General features: G+C 36.8%; 1 protein-coding gene and 1 pseudogene across 21 annotated transcripts in view; one reads left to right on the top strand and one right to left on the bottom strand.

Annotated features, from left to right (window-relative positions):
* Positions 1-26,421, bottom strand: part of DGKB (diacylglycerol kinase beta) — an 829,810-nt gene that overhangs the window by 38,948 nt on the left and 764,441 nt on the right. The gene's annotated exons all lie outside the window — the stretch shown is intronic.
* Positions 6,739-8,121, top strand: EEF1A1P26 (eukaryotic translation elongation factor 1 alpha 1 pseudogene 26; annotated as a pseudogene).

The raw sequence follows: 26,421 nt of genomic DNA on the forward strand, positions 1-26,421 counted from the left end.
TCCTCTCCCCATCACATGCCCCCACTAGAGAAGCTGACAGTCCATTTGCAGGAGAAGTTTCCGGCTTTACTTGGAGCTGAGTCAATTTGGAAAGCTAAGCCAAGTACAGGGGTAGAGGAAGCAGCAGAAAGGCCCTGGGAGCTCCTGGAGTCCCCTAACTGGCCGTTCCTGCCTGGCACCATACCACAGGGATCCAACGGGAGGGTGACCAGAGGAGCAGGGGGTAAAACTCCACAGGGAGAAGGAAATCTCTAGCTAAACTTTGTAACAATTTGAACGGGGTGGGAAGCCACCTGGCTAGAACTCAGGAGAGGGCGCAAATCTGGTGTGCAAACTCCACAGGCAGGGGAAGAACCAAGACCTTTTCTTTCGCAGTTGGGAGGTGAGTTTTCAGGCCGGTCTCACCTTCTGCCTGGAAACTAACTCGGGTCTGTTCGTGGGGGCACGGTGAGAGTTAGAACGGGCCTTCAGTTTGCATGGGAGCTGTGTGAGGCCTGTGACTGTGGGCTTTCCCCCACTTCCCTGACAACCTGCATGACTCAGCAGAGGCAGCCATAATCCTCCTAGGTATACAAGTCCAGGGACCTGCAAATCTCATCCCCATCCCCCATGCTGCAGCTGCAGCAAGACCCACCCAAGGAGAGTCTGAGCTCAGAAATGCCTAACCCTGCCCTCCTCCTGATTGTCTTTCCCTACTCACCCTGGTAGTGGAAGACAAAGGGCATATAATCTTGGGAGTTCTAGGGCCTCGCCCACTGCCAGTTCCTCTCTGGAAAGCACCACCTCCTGGCAGGAGGTGCAAAAAAAGCATTGGATTAAATCCAGCGTCTCTTTATGATTAAAGCTCTCAGCAAAATCGGTATGCAAGGGACATACCTTAATGTAATAAAAGCCATCTATTACAAACTCACAGCCAACATAATACTGAATGGGGAGAAGTTGAAAGCATTCCCTCTGAGAACTGGAACAAGACAAGGATGCCCACTCTCACCACTACTCTTCAACATAGTACTGGAAGTCCTAGTTAGAACAATCAGACTAGAGAAAGAAGTAAAGGGCATCCAAATCGGTAAAGAGGAAGTAAAACTGTCACTGTTTGCTGATGATATAATCTTTTACTTTGAAAACCCTAAGGACTCCTCCAGAAAGCTCCTAGAATTGATAAAAGAATTCAGTTTCCAGATGCAGGATTAATGTACACAAATCAGTAGCTCTTGTACACAATAATGGCGACCAAGTGGAGAATCAAATAAAGAACTCAACCACTTTTACAATAGCTGCAAAACAAACATCTTAGGAATATACCTAACCAAGGAGTCGAAAGACCTCTACAAGGAAAACTGCAAAACGCTATTGAAAAAAATCATAGATGACATGAACAAATGGAAACACATTCCATGCTCATGGATGGGTAGAATCAATATTGTGAAAATGACCATACTGCCAAAAGCAATCTACAATTCAATGCAATTCCCATCAAAATACCACACCATCATTCTTCACAGAATTAGAAAAAAAAATTCTAAAAATCATATAGAACCAAAAAAGAGCCCACATAGACAAAGCAAGACTAAGCAAAAAGAACAAATCTGGAAGCATCACATTACCTGATTTTAAACTATACTGTAAGGCCATAGTCACCAAAACAGAATGGTACTGGTACAAAAACAGGCACATAGACCAATGGAACAGAATAGAGAACCCAGAAATAAACCCAAATACTACAGCCAACTGATCTTTGACAAAACAAACAAAAACATAAAGTGGGGGAAAGGACACCCTTTTTAACAAATGGTGCTGGGATAATTGGCTAGCCACATCTAGAAGAATAAAACTGGATCCTTATCTCTCACCTTATACAAAAATCAATTCAAGATGGATTAAGGACTTAAACCTAAGACCTGAAACTATAAAAATTCTAGAAGATAACATTGGAAAAACTCTCCTAGACATTGGCTTAGGCAAGGATTTCATGACCAAGAACCCAAAAGCAAATGCAATAAAAACAAAGATAAGTAGCTGGGACCTAATTAAACTAAAGAGCTTTTGCATGGCAAAAGGAACAGTCAGCAGAGTAAACAGACAACCCACAAAGTGGGAGATAATCTTCACAATCCATACATCTGACAAAGGACTAATAACCAGAATCTACAAGAAACTCAAACAAATTGGTAAGAAAAAATCAATCCCATCAAAAAGTGGGCTAAGGACATGAATAGACAATCCTCAAAAGAAGATATACAAATGGCCAACAAACATATGAAAAATGCTCATCATTACTAATGATCAGGAAATGCAAATCAAAACTACACTGCTATACCACCTTATTCCTGCAAGAATGACCATAATCAAAAAAATAATCAAAAAACAGTAGATGTTGGTGTGTATGTGGTGAATAGAGAACAATTCTACACTGTGGGTGGGAATGTAAACTAGCACAGCCACTATAAAAAAACAGTGTGGAGATTCCTTAAAGAACTAAAAGTAGAACTACCATTTGATCTAGCAGTCCCTCTACTGGGTGTCTACACAAAGGAAAAGAAGTCATTATTCAGAAAAGATACTTGCACATGCATGTTTATAGCAGCACAATTCACAATTGCAAAATTGTGGAACCAACCCAAATGCCCATCAATCAAAGAGTGGATAAAGAAACTGTGGTATATATATTCAATGTAATACTACACAGACATAAAAAAGAATGAATTAACAGCATTTGCAGTGCCCTGGATGAGACTGGAGACTATTATTCTAAGTGAAATAACTCAGGAATGGAAAACCAAACGTCGTATGTTCTCATGGATATGTGGGAGATAAGCTATGAGGAAGCAAAGGCATAAGGATGATACAGTAGACTTTGGGGACTTGGGGGGAAGAGTTGGAGAGGGGCGAGGGATAAAAGACTACAAATATAGTGAGTGTATACTGCTCAGGTGATGGGTGCACCAAAATGTCACAAATAACCACTAAAAAACTTACTCATGTAACCAAATATCACCTGTATCCCAATAACTTATGGAAAAATAAATAAATAAATAAATAAATGTTATCAGTGATGGAAGAGAAAAAAGTGCTACAAAGGAATACATACATAACACCTTAAAATAGTCCAGCAAACAGTCCTACCAATAAATCATTTCAAATGTAATCACAAAATTAAAATGAAGTACAAAGCTCCCATTTATAATACCATGTGGGGTAATGTATGAAGAATACTCTGGAGAAGCTCAGTAAGAAAGCTAAGAGCCTGGCCCTGCTGTACTCACATGCACCTCTGCCTGGCCCAACATCTGGTTCAGCAGCAGACAAACCTCCCTGGACAGATAGCCACAGGCCTGCTTGGCATCACCACACCTGCACACACCTGAGCCCAGCCTGACAGCCAGTCTGGGTGGTCCCATTTCCCTGCAAATACCATTGCAGGAATGCCTGGCACCATTGCTCTCATGCTTGGTCCAACAGCTGGTCCAGTGATAATTCTGCTTTCCTAGACAGATTGCCACAGAGTCCAACAACCAGCCTAGCGCTCCTGTCCTCAGCAAAACTACACTGCTGCCATCACAAACGCCTGCAGCCTAGAGCACTGAGGCAATATATATCACTGATGAGGATTACAGCTGAAGAAACTGCATGAAGACTACAGTACTGAGTCGACCTAGAGCTAAAGCCAATGCACCACATTTAACACTAGGACTTGTTTACAGGAAAACATTTATCCCTACAAAAGCTACTCCATAATGTTGGAAAAAATTGACTACACAATTAGATTCACAGATATAAATGTAGGGACACAAGAAACATAAAAAAGCAAATTAACATGGCACCCACAAAATGTCTCCAGTAACAGACTCCCAAAAAGGACATTCATATAATATCTGAAAAATAAATTCAAAATTATGATTTTAAGGAAACTGAGCAAGATATAAGAGAACACAGAGAAACAATTCAATAAAATCAGGAAAACAATTCATGATCCGAATGAGAAATTCAACAAAGATGTATATAAAATAAAAAAAGAACCAAGCGGAATTGGAGCAGAAATATTCAATGAATGAAATGAAAAAAATACATAACTGACAGCTTCAACAACAGACAAGATGAAGGAGAAGAAAGAATTTATGAACTTGAAGACAGATCTTTTGAAATAGCCCAGCCAGAGGAGGGGAAAAGAAAGTAGAAATAAGAAAAATAGAGAATGAAGAAAGCCTACAGGACTTATGGGACACCATCAAGTGAATAAATTTTCTCATAATAGGAGTGTCAGAGGGAAAGAGACGGAGAAAAGCACAGAAAATTTATTTAACGAAATAATAGCTGAAAAATTCCCAAGTATTGGTAGAGTTATGAACATCCAGATTGAGGAAGTTAAAAGATCCCCAATTGGCCGGGCGCGGTGGCTCACGCCTGTAATCCCAGCACTTTGGGAGGCCGAGGCGGGCGGATCACGAGGTCAGGAGATCGAGACCATCCCGGCTAAAACGGTGAAACCCCGTCTCTACTAAAAATACAAAAAATTAGCCGGGCGTGGTGGCGGGCGCCTGTAGTCCCAGCTACTTGGGAGGCTGAGGCAGGAGAATGGCGTGAACCCGGGAGGCGGAGCTTGCAGTGAGCCTAGATCCCGCCACTGCACTCCAGCCTGGGCGACAAAGCGAGACTCCGTCTCAAAAAAAAAAAAAAAAAAAAAAAAAAGATCCCCAATTACATTCAATCCAAAAAATTCTCTCTGAGGCATATTATAATCAAACCGTCAAAAGTCAAAGACAATGAAATAATTCTAAAATCTACAAAAGAAAAGTATCAAGTCTCTTATAAGGGAATCTGCATCACACTATTAGCAGATTTCTCAGCAGAAACCTTAAAGCTGGTAGAGAATGGGATGATATATTCAAAGTGCTGAAAGAAAAAAAAGCTGTCAGTTGAGAATATTATATAAAGCAAAGATATTTTTCCAGAAATGAAGAAGAAATAAAAATTTTTGCAGATAAGAAAAAGCTAAGGGAATTCATTACCATAAAGTTGGTGTTACAAGAAACACTTGAGAGTGCTACAAATGGAAACAAAAGGACCATAATTACTAACAGGAAAACAAGTGAAAGTATAAAACTCACCGTAGAGTAAGTTAATTAATCAAATTCCTAATATTTCCAGTGATATGATACGTCTTTCAATCCTCTAGTATGAACGTTTAATGTCAAATGGTCAAAACCAAGAATTACAATTAATGGCAAAGGAACACACCACAGATAAAGAAGTAAATTAAGTGAACAAAAGTATAAATTTTAGGGGGAAGGAAAACTGTCTAGAGTAATTTTATGCAACCAAAGTTAAGTTGCCATCATCTTAAAATAGTCAATTCTAACTACAAGACTCTTTATGTTAGCCTGTGGTAATCACAAACAAATAATGTACTGCAGACAATCAAATGAGAATGAGAAAATAAAGCTTAGCACCACAGAAAACCACCAAACCACAGAGGTAAATAGCAAGAGAAGAAGAAAGAAATAAGGAATCTACAAGATAAGGAAAAAATAATGAACAAAATGGCAGAAGTACTTATCTAACAATAATAACCTTGAATGTAAATGGATTAAATTTTCCCATTAAGAGACAGAATGGCTGAATAGGCAAAATAAAATAAAATAAGACCCAACTATATACTACCTAAAAAAGATTCACCTCAAAAAAGGCAGGCTGAAAGCAAAGGGATAGAAAAAGATATTCCGTGCAAACAAAAACAAAAATTGAACAGAATAAGCCATATTGATATCAGATAAAAGATATTTTAAGTCAAAAACTGTTAAAAGAGGCAGAGAATGTTATTATATATAATGAGAAAGGGATCAATTCAACAAGAGGATATAACAATTGTAAATATATATGCAACCAACACAAAAGCACTCAAATATATAGAGCAACCGTTATTAGATCTAAAGGGAGAGATAGAACACAATACAAAATAGTAGGGGATTACACCCACTTTCAACAAGGGTAAGCTAATGACAAAAAATCAACAAAGAAACATTGGACTTACACTGCACCATAGACCAAATGGACCTAACAGACATTTACAGAACATTTCATCCAACAGCTTTAGAATACATATTCTTTTCGGTTGCACATGGAACGTTCTCCAGGATGAATCACATATTAGGCCACAAAATAAATCTCAACAAATGTAAGAAGAGATGATCAGCTATCTTTTCGGGCCATTATGGTCTAAACTAGAAATTAACAAAATAAAATTTTGGAAATGTTACAAATAGATGGAAGTTAAACAACATCCTTTTAGATAACCAATGGGTCAGTGAGTAAGTTAAAAGAAAATTAAAATTTTCTTGAGACAAATGAGAATGGGACACATCTTACCAAAACCCATGGGACACAATAAAACCAGTACTAAAAGGGAAATTTATAGTAATAATTGTCTACATCACAAAAGAAGATTTCTATGAAACAATCCAACAATGCATCTCAAAGGCCTAGGATTTGTTATTAATTTAATAATAAACTAAAGCCAAAATTAGCAGAAGGAAGGAAATAATAAAACTCAGAGCAGAAATAAACAAAATTGATGCTAAGAACAAAAATTCAAAAGATCAACAAAATGAAGAATTTGTTTTTTTGAAATGATAAAGGAAAATCAATAAACCACAAGCTAGGCTAACTAAAAAAAAGAAAGAAGACTCAAAAAAATAAAATCAAGGATGAAGTAGGAGATATTAAAGCTGATACCAACTTTTTTTTGCAATACGTTTGCAGCTAGAACACCAGTGTCATGAAAACCATCCCTAAAGTCAAATGGGAAAGAAAAGAAAAAGACTCCCATCAACATTGTCAAAATTGGACACATTGATTCAGGCAAGTCCACCACTACTGGCCATTTGATCTACAGATGTGGTGGGATTGACCAAAGAACCATCGAAAATTTTGAGGAAGAGGCTGTTGAGATAAGAAAGAGTTACTTCAAGTATGCCTGGGTCTTAGATAAACTGAAAGCCGAACCTGAACATGGTATCACCATTGATACCCTGTGGAAATTTGAGACCAGCAGTTACTACTTGATTATTATTGATAGTCTGGGACACAGATGCTTTGCGAAAAACGTGAATACAGCCACATTTCAGGCTGACTGTGATGTCCTGATTGTTGCTGCTGGTGCTGGTGAATTTGAACTGGTGTCTCCAGGAATGAACAGACGTATGAGCATGCATTTCTGGTTTACACACTGGGTGTGAAACAGTTATTGTTAACAAAATGGATTCCACTTAGCCACTCTATAGCCAGAAAAGGTACAAAGAATCATTGAGAAAGCTGAAACTTAAGAAAATTGGCTACAATGCCAACACAGTAACATCTGTGCCAATTTCTGGTTGGAATTGTGACAATATGCTAGAGCCATGTGCTAACATGCATTGGTTCAAGGGATGGAAAATCACCTGTAAAGATGGCAATGCCAGTGGAACTATGTTGCTTGAAACTCTGCAATGCATCCTATCACCAACTCATCCAACTGACAAGCCCTTATTTGTGGTCTGCCTCTCCAGGATTTCTACAGAATTGGTGATTTTGATACTGTTACTGTGTTCTGAGTGGTGACTGGGTTACCTTTGCTCCAGTCAATGTTACAACTGAAGAAAAGTCTGTTGAAATGCACCATGAGGCTTTGAGCGAAACTCTTCTGGGGGACAAAGGGGGCTTCAATGTCAAGGATGTGCACGTCAAAGATGTTCACTGTGCCAACATTGCTGATGACAGCAAAAATGACCCACCAATGGAAACAAATGGCTTTCCTACTCAGGTGACTATTCTGCACCAAACAGGCTAAATCAGTGACGGCTATGTCCCTGTACTGGATTGTCACACAGTTCACATTGCTTGCCAGTTTGCTGAGCTGAAGGAAAAGATTGATTGCCAGTCTGGTAAAAAGCTGGAAGATGGCCCTAAATACTTGAAGTCTGGTGATGCTACCATTGTCGATATGGTTCCTGGCAAGCTCCTGTGTTGAGAGCTTTTCTGACTATCCTCTGAGTCATTTTGCTATTTGTTCTATGAGACAGATAGTCGCTGTGGGTGTCATCAAAGCAGTGGACAGGAAGGCTGCTGATGGTGGAAAGGTCACCAGAGTTGGTGAGGAAGAAATAAAAGGCATCCAAACTGGGAAGAAGGTAGTCAAATTGTCCCTATTTGTAGATGTTATAATATTTTACATAAAGAAAACTCTAAAGACTCCACCAAAAACTAGTCAAACTGAAAAACAAATTCACTAAAATTGCAGGATACAAAATCAACATACACAAATCAGTAGCATGTCCATAGGATAATAGTGAACTCGCTGAAAAAGAATTTTTAAAACTTTCTTTTACCATAGCTACAAAAAAACTAGATACCTAGGAATATATTTAACCAAGGAGGTGAAAGATCTCTACAATAAAACTGTAAAACTTTGATGAAAAATAAATGGAAGAGGACACAAATAAATGGAAAGACATATTATATTCATGAATTGGAAGAATTTTTTTTAAATGGTCATAGTACCCAAAGTGATCTGCAGATTTAATGCAATTCCTGTCAAAATAACTATAATATTCTTCAGAGCAGCGGTCCTCAATGTTTTTGGCACCAGGGACTGGTTCATGGATGACAGTTTTTCCACAGACCAGCCACAGGGTTGGGAGGTGGTTTTGAGATGATCCAAGTGCATTACATTTATTGTGCACTTTATATTATTAGCACTTTATTTATATTATTACATTGTAATATATAGTTATATATTATTTCATTATGTATTACAATGTAATAATACAACTCACTATAATGTTGAGTCAGTGGGACCCCTAAGCTTGTTTTCCTGCAACTAGATGATACCATCTAGGGGTGATGGGAAACACTGACAGATCATCAGGTGTTAGATTCACATACAGAGTGCTCAACCTAGGTCCCTTGCATGCGCAGTTCACAATAGGGTTTGCACTCCTATGAGAATCTAATGCAGATGCTGATTTGACAGGAGTCTGAGCTCAGGCGGTAATGCGAGTGATGGGGAGCAGCTATAAAATACAGATGAAGCTTCACTCTCACCTGCTGCTCACCTCCTGCTACGCGACCCAGTTCCTAATAGGCCACAGACCCATACGCCTGTTTGTGGCCTGGGGGTTAGGGACCCCTGCTTCAGAGAAATAGAAAAAAAAAAAAACAACTATAAAATTCTGTAGAACTACAAAATACCCTAAATAGCCAAAGACATACTGAGCAAAAAGAACAAAGTGGAAGGGATCACACCACCTGACTTCAAAATACACTATTATACAAAGATATAGTAACCAAAACAACATGGCGCTGGCACAGAAACAGACACATAGACTAATAGAATAGAATGGAGAGACCAGAAATACATTCAACACCTACAGCCAACTGATTTTTGACAAAGATGCCAAAAACACACATTGGGGAAAAAGTAGTCTCTTCAATAAATGGTGCTAGGAAAATTCAATAATCACATGCAAAAGAATGAGACTAGACCCTGACTCATGTTATGTACAAAAATCAACTCAAAATGAATTAAAGATTTAAATGTAAAGTTTGAAACTATGAAACAACTAGAAGAAATCACAGAGAAAATGCTTTATGACGTTAGGGTGGGCAAGGACTTTTTAAATAAGATCTCAAAAGCACAGACAACGAAAGCAAAAAGAGACAAATGGAGTTTCATTGAACTAAAAAGCTTTTGAAGAGGAAACTATTCACAGAGTAAAGAGATAACCTAGCAAATGGGAGAAAATATATGTAGACTATACTTCTAACAAGGAGTTAATATATAGAATATATAAAGGAACACAAACAACTCAATGGGAAAAAAACCCCCAAATACCTCATTTTAAAAATGGGCAAAAGACTTTAATAGACATTCTCAAAAGAAGACATACAAATGGCCATTAGTTATATGAAAAAAATGCTCAATACCACTAATCATAAAGGAAATGTAAATGAAAACCACAACGAGATGTTACTTCATTCCAATTAGACTGGTGGTTATCAGAAAGACAAAAGAAATCAAGTGCTGGTAAGGTTGTGGAGAAATGGGAACACTTATATGCTGTTGGTAGCAATATATACTAGTACAACCATTATGGAAAACAGTATGGAGGTTCCCCAAAAATAGTCAAAATAGAATTAACATGTGATCTAGCAATTCCACTACTGGATGTATAGCCAAAGGAAATGGAATCAGCACGTCAAAAGAGATATCTGTACTCTCAACTTCTGTAGCACTATTTATAATAGCTAATATATTGAATCGACCTAAGTGTCCAACAGTGGATGAATGGATAAAAAATGTGGCAAATATACACCGTAGAATATTATTCAGCCATAAAAAGAATAAAATCCTGTCATTTGTGACAACATGGATGAACCTGGAGGACACCGTGTTAACCGAAATAAGCCAGACACAGAATGATAAATACCACATTATCTCACTCATTTTTAGATGTGGAATAGTAAAAATAATTTTTAAATATAACAAGAAGATAAGAATCTGGTACATAAATGGATTAACAAGAGTCATTTAAAAAATCTAGCAGTGTGAAATGTTGCATTCCCTGTTGAAATCTAAAAATGAGGGGTTAATATATGTTATATTATGTTATATATGTATGCAGAAATACATATATTCTGTTATATATGTACACAGAAATACATATATATTCATAGTGGAAGCCTGACTTTAAAAAGAACTTTTCAAGAATGGATTTGATCATCTCTTTTAAAGCCATCTAGTTTTTGAAAACAACCAGCCGGAGCTGACTATAACTTTGTTTTTATGCTAAAATTCTGAACTCCTTTAAACGAGTCTAAAATAAGGAAAGACCAGAAATCACAGTACAGCATATTGTCAACAACCTCTCTATAGCGACCAAAGGAGTTCAGGGCCTGCAAGTCACTGTGTTATAGTGTACTTGAAAAGTCATCTACACCACAGGAACGCAACCAAATAAATAAGTATTTCACCGACAAAACCCATAGAGAAAGAGTTTAAAGACTTCCCACAGCAATCCATTGCTGCCACTAGCCATGTGTATTATCAGTAAATGTAAATGGTGTAAACTAGTGGTGAATATGAACACTGCTGCTTCTGGGTTCTTGAAGCAGTTTGTTCTCGTTAAGCTTTGTGAAGGGACTGAAGGCTTTCACTTGTTTTCTGTGTGAATGAGCCGTTAGTGTGTGTGGGAATGTTTTCACAGCACCATGCCTCTTCTGCCCTTTTCTATAAACTGAGCTACTTCACGTGTCTCCTCATATTAGTGCCATCACTAAACAAAGCAAGCGCTCATGAATGAAGGCTGATGTCAGCAAATTCTGAATAGCTTCTGGAGGGGCATCCTGCACCCTAACACTGATGCCAGCTAAGGGGATGAAGTCACCAGGGAGATCACCCACTCTTATTCTCCTAAGAACTGAGCAGTTCCAGCAATGAAAAGCAATACAAAGCAAACAAACAAATATTCAGATTAAAATGCAATGTAATACAGGGCAGTGCCAACATTACTTTACATATGACTACACGGTCTTTACACTAAATATCCAGAAGTACTGTGAAAATCAGTTATTTTCTTGAGATATATTATAAACTATAATGAGATGTTTCTATGGTCCCTTTATTTTAGTTTCAGTGAAACATGAAAAACACATAAAAATAAAATTTTAGAAACATGGTAGTACATTTGAACTCACTTATAAACTTAATAATGCTGAACATTAAAATAAGGACAGAACATGATGATGAGGAAAAGTGATTTACAGTAAACATTTCCTTGTAAAACAGAACTGTTTCTGGTATCCAATTTACCCTGGTTGCATGTAAGTCTTACGTGCTTAGCAAGAGATTGAAAGACTTTATAATATTTGAGGTTATTGTGCATAAAACCATTGCTGGTCAGAAGTAAATCTTACTGTCTTGGCAGTTTGTCTTCAGAGAATAGGCGACATGTCTAAATAGAATTAAATCTCAGCAACCTTCATGTAGAACTGTTTGTTGCCGAAAAATATAGGATTATATCATGACGTCTGGTGACTTGCCAGAGAACCCTTGAAACCCTGCTGAGTTCAAGGCTCTGCACAACAGGAATGTCATAGTTTCTGCTTAGAACAGTGTGTGTATTTAAGGAGTTTTGCTGTTAATGCAGGACTAAGGACCCCTCACTCATGAACTGAGACAGGGACTGTTATTGTCGAAAGCACTAAACACACTTTCCTCATTGCCTCACCATTTAAAGATGAGCAGTTTTTGACTCATGCCTCAAAGAAAGAATTATTCTAGTCATAAAAGCCTGCTAAAGTTTTCTTTTTTAAAGCTTATAAACAGACTGCGGGCAGATTGACCATCATATCTAATAAGCTAACTGTTAACAAGTTAGTACAGTTTAGTATACACCTGAATACTTCTATTTTCTATATTTTTCTCCTCCCCCCACACTCCCTTTCTTTTGAAGTAATTTTATTTCATGACCTTATGTCTACAGAAAAAGAATTATATTACTGTCTTGGATTACTAAATTGAATTAATGTTGACATAAATAGTTTTATTTGGATGGAATTTTAAAATTAATTCCATTTGTAAATAACCATAAGAAATACAATCTCCTTTGTCATTTCGATCACAAAGTAGCAGAGAAATCTATTCCACACATAAAATCACTTAGAAGAGAGAACTTGCAACTTACTACAGTATAAGAGATTTTCAGTATCTAGTCACCTTATGACTCATATTAATCATGTACTGACAAGTTTCCAAAGAGCTTGAATTAAAAAAAAAATAAGCCCTTGTATATAGACATGTTGAAGGACTTAGATAAGTACAAAAAATCTCTGTGAAAAAGTTTTCATTGATGTTTTAAAAAGCGTGTTATTTTATCTTTACAAAGGAACTGCACTAACACTAATCTAGCTTTTGGAAAATACAGCAACATTCATGACTAATCGTAGTGTGAAAAGTAGAAATGGACATGAAAAGTATCATCACCTCTAGCAACACTTGAAACCCTAAGAGAGGTTCAAATGCAAACTTTCAGATTTTCAACACTGAAAAACCAAGGACTTTATCTTCCCTTTCAAGGAGTTGCTTTGTGGGGCGGGGGAAACCAAAACCTCTTTTGTAGTACAAACTTTGCCAATATATCTGATTCTTTTTCTACCTCCTCTTAGAAGAGATATACCCCCTTTTTAATAGTTTAAAAATACTATTGCAGTGAAACTCTTGGTACAAAGGAAAATTATTCTATTTAGTCGTATTCTTTTAAAAGTTATTTGTTTAAAAGGGCTTCACTGTATTGGTCTTGCAGCCCTTCATACAACAGAACAAAAGCAGTTCTATGAAAGAAGACTAAACTTGAACAAACCGTAAAAAAAAAAAGCAAAGTTCCTCTCTGTTTTTATCAAATTTGATTGCTGCAGCTGTTCCCAGTTTCTGTATTTTAAAAATAGCCTTATTCAGTGCCTTGTTGGCTAAAGGCCAGAGTGCCATTAGAACATGCTGTACGGAAAACCTCTATTCAGTTACAGATACAGAAATATATTTAAGATCAGTGGGGGTCATCTGCAGCAAACACTTGTAAAGGAAAATCGAATTTTAATGTGTTTGGACTGATTGCCACTTTTACCAGATAGTTTAAAGCTTCCATATAGAACCATCCTATTATTTTTTCTTTTAGGTAAAAATGCAAAATGCGTATGAACTTCATTGGACAAATATTATTAGAAAGGTCTGTTTCTCAAATAACAATTGTACAGCTGAGATACACATTTCAAAGAATACCTACTAGTGGTTTCTGTTTGACAAGCTCACAGGCATTCATCGAGTGAAAAGGTAGGTAATATTGAGCAAATGCTACAAATGGAATCATAACTTCTTTCTGACACAGTCCTCCTAAGTAAGGTCACGAGGTGTGAAATAGATTGATCTGCCCAAGGGAAATGAGTCTGGGGACTCATTTTGGACTTAAAGTGTGTGGGGAAAGGGTGAAAGAATTGAGTTATTCAGTGATGTTTCAGAGTTGACCTTCACATCTCTTCAGTTCTTTCCTTTGCCTCAGCAAAGGATTGAAATTAGCATTTGGGACTAAACAGATTCCTGTAGGAGTCCTAATTTGAGTTGTAAGTAAAAAGGATCTGCTTCGCATAAATCATCAATAAAAAGGAATTTTGATTCCAGGTATTGAAAATAGTAAGAAAAAATTAGAAAGCAGAGGTCTAGGGAAAACTAAGGTGAGAAGAAAAAATTTCATTAGGGAAATATACAGCAGTTGTCAAGGTATGGGAACATCTAAGATTTCACCTTTCTTGAAAGCTAACATGTTAGCCTGCCACAGCTTTGTTGAGGCTGGCAGAAGACATGAGTTCCCTGCATCAGAGACCCAAGACGTTACTATCCACAGCAACAGCAGTCACCAGTCTTAACATCTAAATCAGTCCCCCAAACCCCAACTTCCATAGGGTGAAACAAAGAGGTCTGGGAGATACCTGCACACATAATGGGCTGCATTATAGAAGAGAAACCCATGGCTTACAATACCTTGATCTTTCATAATAGAAAATAAGCCTGCCTGATCTCTTCCCAGCTGCCAAACTGGCTAAAAAATGAAGCTCTTATTGACATTTTTATGGTTATATGTGAATTGCTACCATGATGGTATTAAAATAGAAGAGATATCAAAATATTTCACAATCAGCAAGAGTACTGGCCACAGTGTATCCTAGATATTGTAAGAAAATAGGGTCCCAGAGGTCTCTAAGGTACCTGGCATTGATACTTTAAATGTTGGATTTGGAAAAGTCTGGGAGGTCATGAGGAGGGATAGGGGGAACCTGGAAGGACAGGGCGAACTGTGCAGAAATATTTAAATAATTTAACATTTGGTACAGCTATGCTGAAGGTCCCAGTGGAAGGTACTAAACTGAAATATGTCTCAGAAGTTCTGATTCCTAGTCCTAAATTTTGATTTAGCTAAAGGGCAACTTCAGGTAAGTCATTTAATGTTTCTGGGACCCAGTTACCCTATCTCTAAAAGAGAAATGGTACTGACCTTAGATTGTGATTAAATATATTGTTCCAATCAGTTACATAGTAATTTTTTTGCTCATTCTCTTTCTCCCCTACACTAAATAAACTTTATGTATAAGTAATAAAATTATAAATTCTGTGGCTATTCCACTTTTGATAGACAAAAATTTCCACGAGAATAGCTTGAAAAATATTGGAAGTGAAGTAATTGAGCGTGATGGGTCTCAGATGAAAGACATTTGGCTACAAATATTAAAGTGGTGGGGGGAATACAGAATGAATAGGAAAAAGGAATAGAAAAACAAAAGAACAGCAAATAAAAATGTCTGATCTAAGAAAGCATTTGGATCAGATGAATGGGAAATGTAATTAGGCTGGACACCTCCGGAAAGGGCAAAAATATGAGCATTTCCACCATGAAATCAAAGTAAGATAGAGTAACTAGGTCAGCACTCTGCAGGCGGCCTGGGACAGGACTGGGCTCACTGTGAACTTAGAAGCAGAAATAAAATCCACATGGTCACATTTCCACAAGGAATGGAACAAATAGATGATGCCCAGGTGTTCTAGGCATAAGGCATTGTAGAGCAAAAAGTTCAGTGGGATTCAATTAGTAAGTAGAACAAAGCTTCACTATAACTGGGCAAGTGGCAGTGCACTATAATGAAGCTCTTAATTAGGCTAATAATTTAATATAAGTATGTTACTATGTTATTGCTTTAAGATTTCTGAAATAAAAGGAGTAGTGACAACGAAGTATACAATTTCTTAGCTTTCTGGATAACAATATTGCAAAGCAAGATATTTGTTATTTAGCAAATACTTACTACAATGTCAGAAATTATGAAAACAAGGATCAAAACAAACAAACAAACAAAAACAAAATCTAGCTCCTGAGTATATAGTGGTGTACAGGGCACAAAAAGAGACCTTTACTACAATAATTGACAAGGAGATGTTCAGATTTCACTCCAGGTTCAGAGCTGGCCTTTAAGTCTAGAACTTCTGGAGGCCAACATGCCACTGCATAGAGGTCATTCTGGTTAATAAATTGAGCACAAGGATTCACCCATTCCTGAATCTAGTTCTTTAAAGTTGTTTAGTAACAATTCTCCTTTAATACTTTCTCTTATGTTGCCAGTCCTCTGCTAAATGTTATAAAAACACAATATGTTTATGACTCTTTTGTACTCAACCTATACTATGAGGCAGCAATGAGAGAATCAAAAAATTACATGGTGTGGCCCCCAGAGTGCAAGACCTAGCAGTTAAAAAATGATACCTATCACTGTGCACTTTGGCTACCTCATTACCTAGTGAGACAACTCCTCATTGTTGAGCATAATCACTAGGAATATTTTAGTGCAACTCATGTATTCCCCACATTACCCACAAAAGCCGTCCTCATTTTTACACAGGTGTTATGAATTTCTAATTGTCTCTTTTTGTTTCTTCTTGATTAGGAATTTGGCAAGAATTTTTATTTTCCTGGCTTACATTTTATCTCAATGTTTATTTTCTTATACATATTGTTTCATAATACTACATATGATTTCTTTGCCCATTTATCCATTTACCTCATCCAACAAAGTTACATTGAGCACCAACAGATGCTTAGTAGATCAATGTATGCCAGGTACTCTGGAATGTGACTGAGATAGATGTAAAAAGCTATTAGTCTCCTTAAGAGCACTAACATGTAAAAAAAACGTAATGTAGCATTGTCAAAAAGGGAGAGTGTTTAACTCTATGGAGGATGGTTGGTGGTGGGGAGAGAGTTGGGATTGTAGAAGCTTAGGAAAAGCCTAAAAAGTTGTGAGAAATTAGGTAATGAAGATTCAGTCATGAAGGGCCTGAGAGCTTGGGTTTTCCTTACATTTGACTAGGGTGTAGTTAAAAATTCTAAGCTAAGTAGAGAGGCAGTTAGATCACATTTTATAAAGGACATTTAGGGAGTTGTGGAAGATGGTTTCTTCATTCATTTAGGCTGCTACACAAAAATACCATAAACTGGATCGCATATAAACAACAATGTATTTCTCACAGTTCTGGAGGCTGGAAATCCAACATCAAGGCACTAGCAGCGTCTGGTGAGGGCCTGTTTCCTAGATAGCTGTCTTTTCACTGTAACCTTACAGGATGGAAGGCTTGAGGGATCCTTGTGTGGTCCCTTTTTATACAGGCATTAATCCCAATTATGATGGCACCACCCTCATAACTTAATCAACTCCCAAAGGTCTCACTCCTAGTAACATCACCTAGGGGTTAGAATTTCAATATATGAATTTTGGGCAGACACAAACATTCAGACCATTGCAGATGGATTCAAAGGCAATGAGGTAAGAAACAGCAGGGTGATCAATTAGAGAAGCATTGAAATAATGCTGATGAGAGATGATAGGGAGTTAAAGTAAGCTGTGACCAGGTGCATGAGAGTGAAAGTTGCTTAGGAGGTAGAACTGACAGCATTATGAATAGCCACCTGGGGAGTGTCGGAAGGCATTGCAGTGGCCACCGGGGTTCAGGGTTGGTAGACAAGCTGATGATGATGTCACCAACTAAGATGCAAAATCCTGGGGGAAAAGCAAGTAGGAAAGTAGGAAACATGGTAAGTTTGATTTTGCATGTGCTGGTATTGTGGACTCTGTGGGACATCCACATGGAGCTCTCTATAGAGAGGACGGCCTGGTGAATATATATCTGTAGATGTGAACATTATTTCCAAATTAATTACAAATTAAAAAAATAAGAATCATATATCATGTTGCTTTGGAGTTTGTTGTTTTGTTTTTAGATGTCCAAATGCATAACCTGGCACAGAGCAGACAATCAATAAGCATACGTTGAATTAGTAATAATGTATTATATTAAGTACACTTGAAGCTTTCCTGATAGTCTTCTATAAGAGGCTCCAATAAAGGGTAGACTCACCTTTAAATTTGGCTTACAATGAGTACTAGCTAGGAACAAAATAATTGCTCATGATTTCAGAGAACACTTCTTGAAGTGACAAATATATTTCTTTTGATAAAGGTAACCATTAATGGATTATCTATAATGTGATAATTGCTTCTTATATTTATCTAGCTCTGTTTAGTTTCCCATTCTTTTTTATGATTTAATGTACTCATAGTATTTATATGCTTAAACCATTGTTAACTGGATTTTTTTTCTGGTAACCAATAGCATTTCTTACTGATACAATTTTACAGATGGAGGAAAGAAGTCAGAGAAGATGAATGGTTTGCTCACAGTAATTCAGCAGTGTCTAGAGTTCTTCCCATGATATCATAATTCCTCTCAACATCATGAGGCTACTGATGGAAAGTGCCTTTAGGTATCTGTCATTAATTACTAATAACAAGGTATTTTTCAGGGGCAAAAGCTGTTGTTACTTAGCCACACTGTTGAAAACTCCTTTGCCGTGACTAACTCTTGTCAATCCTGACAGTGATTCAAGAAAACTGTTAATTTCATTATTTTTATACTGACTTTGCTAAAGATTGAAATCAATTTGCTACATTTTTGGTATCTTTTAAATAGTATAAATAAATTAGAACCAAATCTGTAACAATATAAAAAAATATTATATAGAACTGCCTATTAAATGTTTTGTGTTTTCAAATATTTCTAAAAATGATTACAATTTGATACTATTATTAAAATTTAAAATTCCGTCTTTGAAACAGAAGTTGTCAGGTACTGATCTGTTACTGTAAGATGCCAATCATATTATCACATTTCTAGTTGCTGAAGTATTTTATGAATTTTGAATTCTATTAAATGGTGATTTATTTTTTTCCAGATAAGTCACCATGCAAGAGGCACTTATTACACATGTTTTTCAGCATATGTTGCAAGTTTATTTTAATGCTGAAGAGGCACATTATGATCAAAGCAGAATTCTGCCCAATTTAAACTGTTCCAAGCTATTTTCATACATTCACTCATGTAATACTGTAAGATTTACATTAAAATGAATGCTCGTCTACAATTAAGCGATTCAGTCAACATTTTAAAAAAAGGTGCAAATGTGTGCAACGTGAAAAAAAATCAACAGATGTGCGAATAATCTCTACTTCGGGGCCAGTATCAAAAAGAGCAGTAGCCAAAAAAAAAAAAAAAAGTTAAAAGTTTCAGCACTTATTTTTCGTCTATCCTCTAAGGTTTTCTATACCTAAGTTAAAGGACACACACATAAAACAGTCATAAGACATTTCCTTATGATGATAATTGGATTAGTCAATAATAAATTGGGTTGAGGAACAAACAATAAACTACAGTATTCACAGTAGAACTTAAAGATGGATATATATTTTGTTTTCTTCTGATTCTTATACTCTTCTATTCTGATGATGAATATATTCCAAAGCAGCAATGATTCACCTCTGTTCAGAGAAGAGTACACATGTAAAACCAGAATATTTAGCACTAATGTATTTTTAAAAGATAGCCAGCTAGGATATAATAACAAAAGCAGAAAGAGCTTCTGATCCTAGAGGTGAATAAATCTGCAAGCCAGTGCATGCATGCAGTTTTGCAGGTTGTATAATGCATAACTGAAGGGGTCACCATTCACATTGTGGTCTAAATGAATGGCATCTTCTTGAATTTTATAGAGCACATCCTGCACAATTATAATGTACTGGGGCCATGGAAAACATCATGAGTATGATGGAAATGTAAAGAGTTTGTTCAGATAGGATAACTGAGATCAAAGTGCTTCTTAAAACCTCATCTCTGTTCCATGAGATATATTTTGGTGACCATTGGAAGGATGTCCAGTTTTCACCTACTTCAGTAGCAGATGTGGGGCAAAGAAAACCTTGATGCCAATTGACAGTCTGTAATATTTAGACAATCTAAAGCTTCTGGTCTGATAACATGGATAAAAACTACTCAAATCTCATCCCTATTCTCTCCTCCCCCAGCGAATTAATTGCAGGATATTTCTTCCTTTATTATTTTAACTGAGCTTCCCAGTGACATCTATTTGAGAAAATAAGAAGTGGAAATGGCACTCACTGACAAGCACATTCTTAGACAGGGAGAAAATGAATTGGTATAATTTTACTTAAAAATATTCTCCATTAATGTTTTTCAACATGATTAACATTTATGAAAACATTGATCTATATTATAGTAAATTACATACTGTACTTTAAAATGAGGACTGTGCTTTTGTTTACAAATTTCAACATGCTTTGCTATCCTAGATGAAATCTGAATACATGAAAACTTGAGGGGCCTTATATATGTACCCATGTTTAATCCTGATGTGGCCCAAGGCTTCAACTGTTCTAATTTATTGCAGCTCTTCTACACAGTTCTACAAGTAGCTTGGTGAGCTGACACATTTCTGTGTCTATGTGGGTTAATCTGAGCAAGAAAATGATTAGCCTGAAGTCTCTGGCTAAATCACTAACCATACTTTAATCCATTAGATGAGACCACCTCTCTACTTACATTTTAAATTGGGAAACATACAACGGCTGAGAAAACATAGGGCTTATGCTTTTTGATGAGCTAATATAGCCTAAATTGTCTTGGTAAACTCTTCATTGGCCCTTTGCCCATGAGAACTAAAAGGTTCAAGTGCCTAGTCAACTGGCTAAAAGGAAGTTTAGCATGTTTCTGGAAATTACAAAATAGCCAAGACCTGTGTTGTCACAACAGGGCAGCAAATATTCTCCACATTGAAAAAGGGATGTTAAAAACAGGGCCACGAGTATGGGAAGAGAACGTACGTTCATGTAGATCAATTCTAGGGGAAAAAGAAATGTATTACTATAAATTGTTGGTAGTTATTTTCTAGCAATTCTTTGATATCAGGGAATGTATTTTTATTTGGAAACACTTTAAGCACTTGTATAAGCTTTCATTGTGTGTGTATGTGTCCACAACTGTAGCTATTCAAGAAATATCCTATGTTTTTATCCTCTTAATCAACTTCATTCTTCCTTCATGTTCCCATTGCTCCAACCTATCAGTAAATCTACTCTCAGATATCTTACAGGCTTATTTCCTCTCTAAAGATTGTATAACAGCTAGGAAAATGTGAAAATAGCCTCTCATCTTAGTGTGTCATACTGTCACTGTGTATTCATGTGACACAAGCTTGCATTCTGATGCCATGTCCATGTGGGGCTGAGGAAACTTGTGGAGATTCATCCTGATATCTGCCTCCCCGGATGCATTCACATCTCTTTCAACTGATAATGTCTTTCCACCTCCTCAAAACTCTTCCAGGGAGCAGCTATGGTTCTACATTGTTCTTGAGACCCACCCACAGTAACCATCTTCTCTGCTTGGACCATCAGAATCTTTCCTATCTCTTTTCTTATGTTTTAAAGCTTCTCTTTCTTGGGGACACCTCATATCATCTCTTCTGGGAGCAGAAGTTATACATTGTTGGCCAGAGGGTTGAATCTGGTTCACAGAATTGTTTGGCTCATAACATATTATGTTCTAAATTTTTCAACATTTGTTAAAGGTTTTAAAAAATAAGTGGATTCTACATAAACATGTGATTCTGAGACTATCTTCAAAGATTGGAGGATCAGACAACATTGGGCCAACTTATCCTCCTTATAAACCTTTTCACCTTTAGACAGGACATGCTCTTTCCAATCACCCAAGTCCCTGCCCAGTGTGCTTCATTTCTGGCCCCACAAGGCATTTGTGATTTGTCTTCTGATCTCTCATTCTCAACTGCTTCTATGTTGTACTCTGCAAAAAATCACACGGCCAGAATGAGGGAATGAACCTTACTACGTATGGGAAGTAGAATCTTACTATAGCTTACTAAAATAGGGTGGCAAAATACAGGCAGATAGGCCAAATAATATGATATATATATGTATGTTATAGAAGATAGATCAATTGATTGACAGGTAGATAGAAGCAAGAAAAACTATAGACTTTGGGTAAGATCATTTCTGGTATACAATACCAACTAGTTGATAATTAATTTAATAATGCACATATTCAAAATAAAAACTTGCATATTAACTACAAAATGTAAATTCTCTTAAAACTTGGCTTTACTGAAATGAGCTATACAGACATAATATGTGTCCTTATAGAGACTACAGTCTATACTAAGAAAGACTGTAAAGAGATGTGGAATCCACATAGGAAAATGTGTAATTAAAACACCAGTTGAAAAACATGATAGGGGTTATGACAGGGCTAAGTCCAAGGTGATAGATAGTTTGTAGGAAGAAAAATTAACCAACCTTAAGGGAAGATTTGCCTGAGGAATTCATGTGTAAGCAACAACTGGAAGCATGTGAGACTCATATCCAGGTGAACAAGGAGGTGATGGTGGTTTCAGGAGGAGAAACAGCAAGTGCAAAAGTACAGCAAAAGGTGAGATGAAATCTAGTGCTTAAATCTACCTAGAAACCGTTCAGTATGGTTGCAGCACAGAATTTCAGGGCATGTGGGAGAAAAGGCATATTAGGCTTAATAAGGCAAGCAATACCTGGGCATATGACCTTATAAATCATGTTAAAGAGTTTGAACTTACATAAGGGACTGTGGGTCCCCACTGAGATATTTTTTACAGTAAACAACATAATCAGATTTTTGATGTTGAGAAATCACATGAACCTGCTGAAATGTAGTTTCTATACCCATAAAATAGGAATAGTGTCGTATATCCTGGTTGCCTCATTGGATTGCTGCAAAGATCAAATCAAATAATATATGCTAAAATTCAGCAAATTCTAATATGCAAGTAATATTATAATGCATAAAGTTTATTTATTGTTGCAACTATTTTTTGTAGAAAGTGTGTGAGCCAATCTCTGATAGGCTAATAGATTGTACTACATGACAATGAGTAGTAAAGCACAACTCATATCAGTTATTAGCAAACATTCTATTAAGAAATGTGAAGAAAACCTAAGTATTAGGGTAAAAATGTATGAGATGGAATTTATAAATGTTGGCAATAACTTTTAATTAATCTTTTATTATACTGTTTCTCTTACTGGGAGTTGAAGAGGTTGATCATGTTTTCTTGCTGCCCAACACTTTTTAAGCAACTTCTATGTTTCAGGAATAGGAACCCTGCCTTTAGAGGGCTACAGAAGCTCTCTCCCTCTGCCTCCTTTGAGGTCAACATGTGATCCATCAGTATGTGATCCATCAACATATGATCCGATAGCACCTGATCCCTCAGACTGTAATCTATCAGAGTGTGAGTCATCGTGTGTGGGATCTTTCAAAGTGTAATCTGCCAACATATGACCTAAGCTTTGCCAGTCGGGTGCATTGGTGTGAGATGTTTGGAATGCAGTGGCTTGAAGAGGGAGATAACAGGCAGAAACAGTTCTGGCCAGGATGGCATGGAGACATTCTGTTCTCTGAGGGCATGGAGTCCGAAGTCCTAGGGGTAGCATCCTGTGCCCAGCTTCTCTGTGGTGAGGTGTTGGACTCATGCACAGAAGCAGAGACATTAAGGTTACCTGTGGGAATGCCAGGCAATGTACTTGGTGAGTGGTTCCTGGCTGTATGGCTTTTAAGCCTAATTATCTGTCCTTTGGAGAGATTTTGGGGGTAACTAATATCAGTAAACATGTTCCTTTTCTCCTCCCACAAATGAGAGTGGATTCTGTGGTTTACAAGTAAAAATCCTGACTGATAAATGTGTCAAAATAAAACTGTTTTTTCATCTTAAGGTGGCAACCTTTTTTTACTCCTTTATTGTACTTGGGAACCAGGGCACACAAACCATGAGGATGAGTATATAAATGTGGAACAAAAGAGGGGAAGGAAATGGATTCCAATACTCTATCTTCAAAGTGAACTAAAAAAATGTAAAATGAATAATCCCCAAAATTATATATGACTTGTCAGCACAATTTCTCATTTGAACCTTGAACCAGCATCTACAGAACTTTGTAGATGAACTTCTATAGAAGTTTGTTTGTAAAGCTCTACTCTATGATATTCTCAGTAAAGTTTTACAGTGATTAAATATGCAAGCTTTTATATGAGTTCTGGGTCCAGATTGTTGCTCCTTAAGTTATTAATTGTGTGACTTTGAAAAAAGTATTTAATCTGTATAAGCACCTGTCTCTCCAGTAAAATAAAACAAAATATCCAGTGAGAGAGTATATTCAACACATTTAGTGCTATGCTTGGCCCAAGACAGACCTTTAATAGTTGCTAGTACTGCTAACAATTAAAATAAAACATTTACTTGAGCTTGAAAAAATATTTCAGGGATGGAACAGGAATAGTGGGGACTAGTATTCGGGTTTTTAAACTGCTGGTGGAAGTGCAGTATTAGAAGGCCTTAAAAACTTGAAGAAAACAAAGACCAGTCTAGGATAAAGAAGTATATTCTACTTAATCTTCATGTTTGAAGTAGGAGGCAGGAAGGATTAATGGGGGTTCAACTTCTACTTCAAACAGTTTCCCTCCCTTTTGCTGGGTTGCAAGGGATTGTAAACAGCCTCAATTTCTCCCTCTTTATACATCTTCTTCCCTCTTTCTTCTGTGTTATGCATTGATATTTCTTTATGTTTGTGTGTACACATATACTAGTATTTCTGTATTGAGTAAAATAATTCAAAACGAGAATAGTTGCATTAATTTTACGACAGTTAAAGGAACCGGCTTTATTGGTTCCATTCTTCATTTTTCTGCATTCTAGCCTTCTCGCTTTGGTTTTGAAATATAGAAGTACTAGGTAGCCTCTGTATCTAGCTTGATTCTTTATTCACTGAAAACACAGCTAGTGTTTTTTCAGTCCTATATGAGTGCTCCAAGAGTTGTTAGAAATAAACAAAAGAATATTCATAGCCTCCTGGAAATAGCTAGTTTTTTTTTTTTTCATTTATCCTTTTTACTTTCTTCCTTTTGGATTCTCCTCTTCTTTCCACTCCATCTCTTAATTGGCTTGCTTCTTGGTAGCCTATATATTCTATACAATGACTTACTAAATTACTGGAGTAATATCGACATACTTGCATACATCGTTTCTCTTTTTTCCTGTAGGGCACATGTCTCAAACAGAATATAATTATAGCTAGATGCTGAGTGGGAAACAAGCAGTCCTTATATATTGAGGACATGAGTATAAGCCTGAGTAACTATTACTACTGATAGAAAAAAAAAAAACGCCAAATTTAAAAAACCATCACCATTCATCAATTTTTAAATTGTATCTCATGTTTAAACATTTATTTGCTTCAAATGAATAATTAAAGTCAGTCCCATCTCCCCCTAAACCAAAATTAAGTAGCATTGAAATTCCTTTTCATAGAGAGATATATACGACAAGATTGGGTATTTGGAAAGATACAGACACTGCTTGCAACTATAAAAACAAGATCAAAACATTTGGATGCCCTTTCTCCACTTCAGTAGGACAGCAACTACACAAGGCTATTCTCTGGAGTAATGATCTTGTCTCCTTCCAAAGGTTTTTTTATCCTATATTCAGGAGGTCATATGCAGTCTTCAGCTGCACAGAGCTCCACTCCTATTAATTTAAAATGGGGGCTCCAGAGGTTCACATTCAGCAAAATCTGCCCCTTAAGAGGTAAGCTTTACCAATCTCCCATTTGAAGAAAAAAAGAAGCGTTTATCTTTGGAAAAAATAACCTACTTAAATAGTCTATCTTCCCTAACAAGAAATAAAGAAAAACTTCAGACATAAGTTAATAAAATATCCTTTTGATTAAACAGAGTTCACTTTATTTTCATGTTTTGGCAACACTGTTTTAGTGGATTTGCATGGGGGGGCTCTGGTATTGTTATTTTATCATTATATTATCATTTTGTTAAGCTATCTGGCAAATTGAAAAGGTTATTCACCCTATGGCTGTCTTTTTTTTTTTAATGTTGAGCATTCATTGAAAAGAATGAAAGAAATCTGGTTGAATATGCAGGTGCACTAATAAATGGGTGGTCTTTGGATTACAGTATTTATGTGTACTGTGGCAAAGCTGAACAGAAACCTAAATGTTATACATACAAAGTGGTACAACAAGAACATCTGTGTTGGGGGGATTGAACTGGCATGGCTAACACCTCCAGTGCCAGGTGCAAAGGAAATTTCAATACAGCTTGAGTAATCTTGACTGCTAGCATCTGCCTGCATCAGATTATCTCCTATGTTCCTAGTCCACCACTATCCATTAGAGTATTTATATGATACATCTGGTGGTGCAATGGCCAAGCAAGAAGCAGCAATGCCTCCGTTACTGGGGGCAAATGCCTGACTCTTTAACTCAATACAAAGGCAAACAGGAATTCATTTCAGGCCCACAGGCAGCCAGCCAACTCTTCAAGACTAATTAGAAGATAGCACTCCAGTGTGATGGCTGCTTTGTCCTTTCAGTTTAGTT

The sequence above is a fragment of the Homo sapiens genome, chromosome 7 (assembly GCF_000001405.40).
Source record: "Homo sapiens chromosome 7, GRCh38.p14 Primary Assembly".
NCBI classification, from domain to species: domain Eukaryota; kingdom Metazoa; phylum Chordata; class Mammalia; order Primates; family Hominidae; genus Homo; species Homo sapiens.